We start from the raw sequence: 2,738 nt of genomic DNA, 5'->3' as shown, positions 1-2,738 counted from the left end.
AAAGAGGAGTCCGGCGCCAGGCGCTGTCCAGCCGCGCAGGATGAGGCCTTCCGGGGAGCGGCCTGCAGCGCCCCCTGGCGACGCGGGGGACCCTGACCCAGTCTAAGTCTCAAATCCTCAAATCCAGCTGAGCCTAGGCCCAAGTTATCAGTTGTGCAATCGTTCCCTGCAGGCAGAACAGCGCTGCCTAATGCACAGGCTTTCCCAACGCTGGCTTTACCCCACCCCTAAGGCCAAGGATTCTTTCCAGTGTTAAAGAAAAAATTATTCATGACACTCGTTAGAGATGGTACAGGAAGGCCGACTTTGACAAAGGGAGCCATGGAGATAGGTCCAGGGACAGCTGCAATGGGGTCTTGCAGTGGGAGAGAGAGATTGGACTGAATTTTGACTCTAATAAGGACAAATTTCTAACCAAGAAGCTTGGTGGGAGGTCAGTGGATGGAAAATTACAAAGAGGGAACATCAGTGTTAAGGAGGATTCTGGCTAAACCAACTTGACAGGATAGTTGCTGAAGGCAGGCCAGGGTGATTGATATCCATGGTAGTCAGACACCAAGAATGAGGATTTTCACTACACTGATTCAGCAGGATTCTTGCTCAAATTGGATTCTACAAGGACAGAAAGCCCAAGATCAAGCCTAGTCAAGCAGAGGACTCAAAGGAGCCTAACTAAGTTTTGGTCAAAGTGGAGAGTTGTCACCATCTTGGTCATAAGCTCAATAGATGATCAATATAGGACAGAGTTCAAACTATATAGCATTAGAGTTGGAAGGAAGCTTTGAGATCATTCAATTTCAGCGTCATTTGTTAGAGATGAGGAAACTGAGGCCTATAGCATAGCCAAAGTAATAGAGATAAAAAGTACGACTAAAACCAGAACTAACTTGGCCAGGCGCAGTGGCTCACGTCTGTGATCCCAGCACTTTGGGAGGCCGAGGCGGGCGGATCACGAGGTCAGGAGATCGAGACCATCCTGGCTAACACGGTGAAACCCCGTCTCTACCAAAAAAATACAAAAAAATTAGTTTGGCGTGGTGGCGGGCACCTGTAGTCCCAGCTACTCAGGAGGCTGAGGCAGGAGAATGGTGTGAACCCAGGAGGCACAGCTTGCAGTGAGCAGAGTTTGCACCACTGCACTCCAGCCTGGGGGATAGAGCGAGACTCCACCTCAAACAACAACAACAACAACAAAAAACCCAGAACTAACTCCATCTGTTGATTTACTCAACTTCTACAAGCAACCCTGGGGTTGGAGGGCAGTGAGGGTGGACTGCTCAGCTGTGGAACTAAGAGAAATCATAGAGTGCAAGCAAAGTGGGAAATGCCTTCTTGTTAACAAGCCTTAGAGGAGAGGTCAGAAACCCAGTAGAAATCCAGAAACAAGGCCTGGATTTAGCAGTGGCATTGGAATGAAGTGAAAGGAATAAACCCCTAAGTAGACCGAGGGCGGAGTTCTTCAAATGAACAAGTTCTGGATGCTAAGACCTAGGTTGCTATGAAGTCAACCAGATAAATACTTATTGTACTCCAACTGTGTGCCAGGCTCTATGCCAGGAGCTAGATATATAATGAGGAACAGGAAAGACATGTCCCGAGGGCTTGTTTTCCCCCACTGTGGAAATCTTACATGTAAATATATAATGCAAAGTAATATCAGATTATGTTACATGGTTTTGCTACTGAATTGTGTGAGCCTGGACAAGTTACTTAATACTTGCAGCTTCGGTTTCATTAACTGTAAAGTAGGAATAATATTACCTACTAAATAGGTAATACATATTATTTTGTGGTTGGATTAGTTAAGCTTGATAGCCGCCTAATAGCTACGCAGGAGCATGACTATCAAGTTTAATTAATTCACCCATTCACTTAATAAGTATTTTTGACTATCTACTATGTGTTAGGCACTGTGTTATACTGAAGGGATGTAGTATTGAACAAAATAATTACTCTTCTTCCCCCACAGAGTTAATCATTTAGCCTTATATAGTTATGCTCATATAAGATAATATATATGGAGTTCATAGTTTAGAGATCAAATGAGATAATATTTGTATAATGGTATAATTGAGATTAATTTTCTTGTTCCCTTTGACTATGGTATCCACTCCCCCACCACTGATATTATACAGTTGTGTGATGACTACTGAGAGTCAGGGATTGTGGGTTGTCACCCTGGATTTAGCACTAAGATTTTTATAATTTCTCCTTGTATTACATTCCATATCTGTAGTGAGGGTTCTGTTTACCCTGAGGCTGAACAACTCTAGGAAGTATCTTTTCTTGACTTTCCATTTCTCTTTTTCCTACCCACAACAATCAAGGTAAATGAAAATAATTTGATAGTGTGAGTTTTGTTGATGAGAGGAACTGCAAAGCAATATTATTTGCAAACCAGTGCCATCTAGTGGAAAATGTGTAATTTTCTTAAATTGTCCTGACTGGGCAATCTCTATTCTTTGTGAAATAAGACTACTGATTGGTGTCCTGAAAATTTTAGGCTGTTATTGAGAACAGTTAATTCTTTTCTCAAAAAAAGATAAAAGATTGCATAAAACAAAACCAGGAACGCAAATATTGGAAAATGCCAGAAAAGCAAAATTTCTTTACTATCCAATTATGTGAAATATGACATATTCAAGGAAAATTAGAAATTTACTTATAAATTAAAAAAAGTAAGTACATTTTCTTCATGACATGTATTTATTTTAAACAGATTTATTGAGATATAATTC

This window comes from Homo sapiens, chromosome 2 (genome assembly GCF_000001405.40).
Source record: "Homo sapiens chromosome 2, GRCh38.p14 Primary Assembly".
Classification (NCBI taxonomy): domain Eukaryota; kingdom Metazoa; phylum Chordata; class Mammalia; order Primates; family Hominidae; genus Homo; species Homo sapiens.
Note: the sequence above shows the minus strand (reverse complement) of the source record.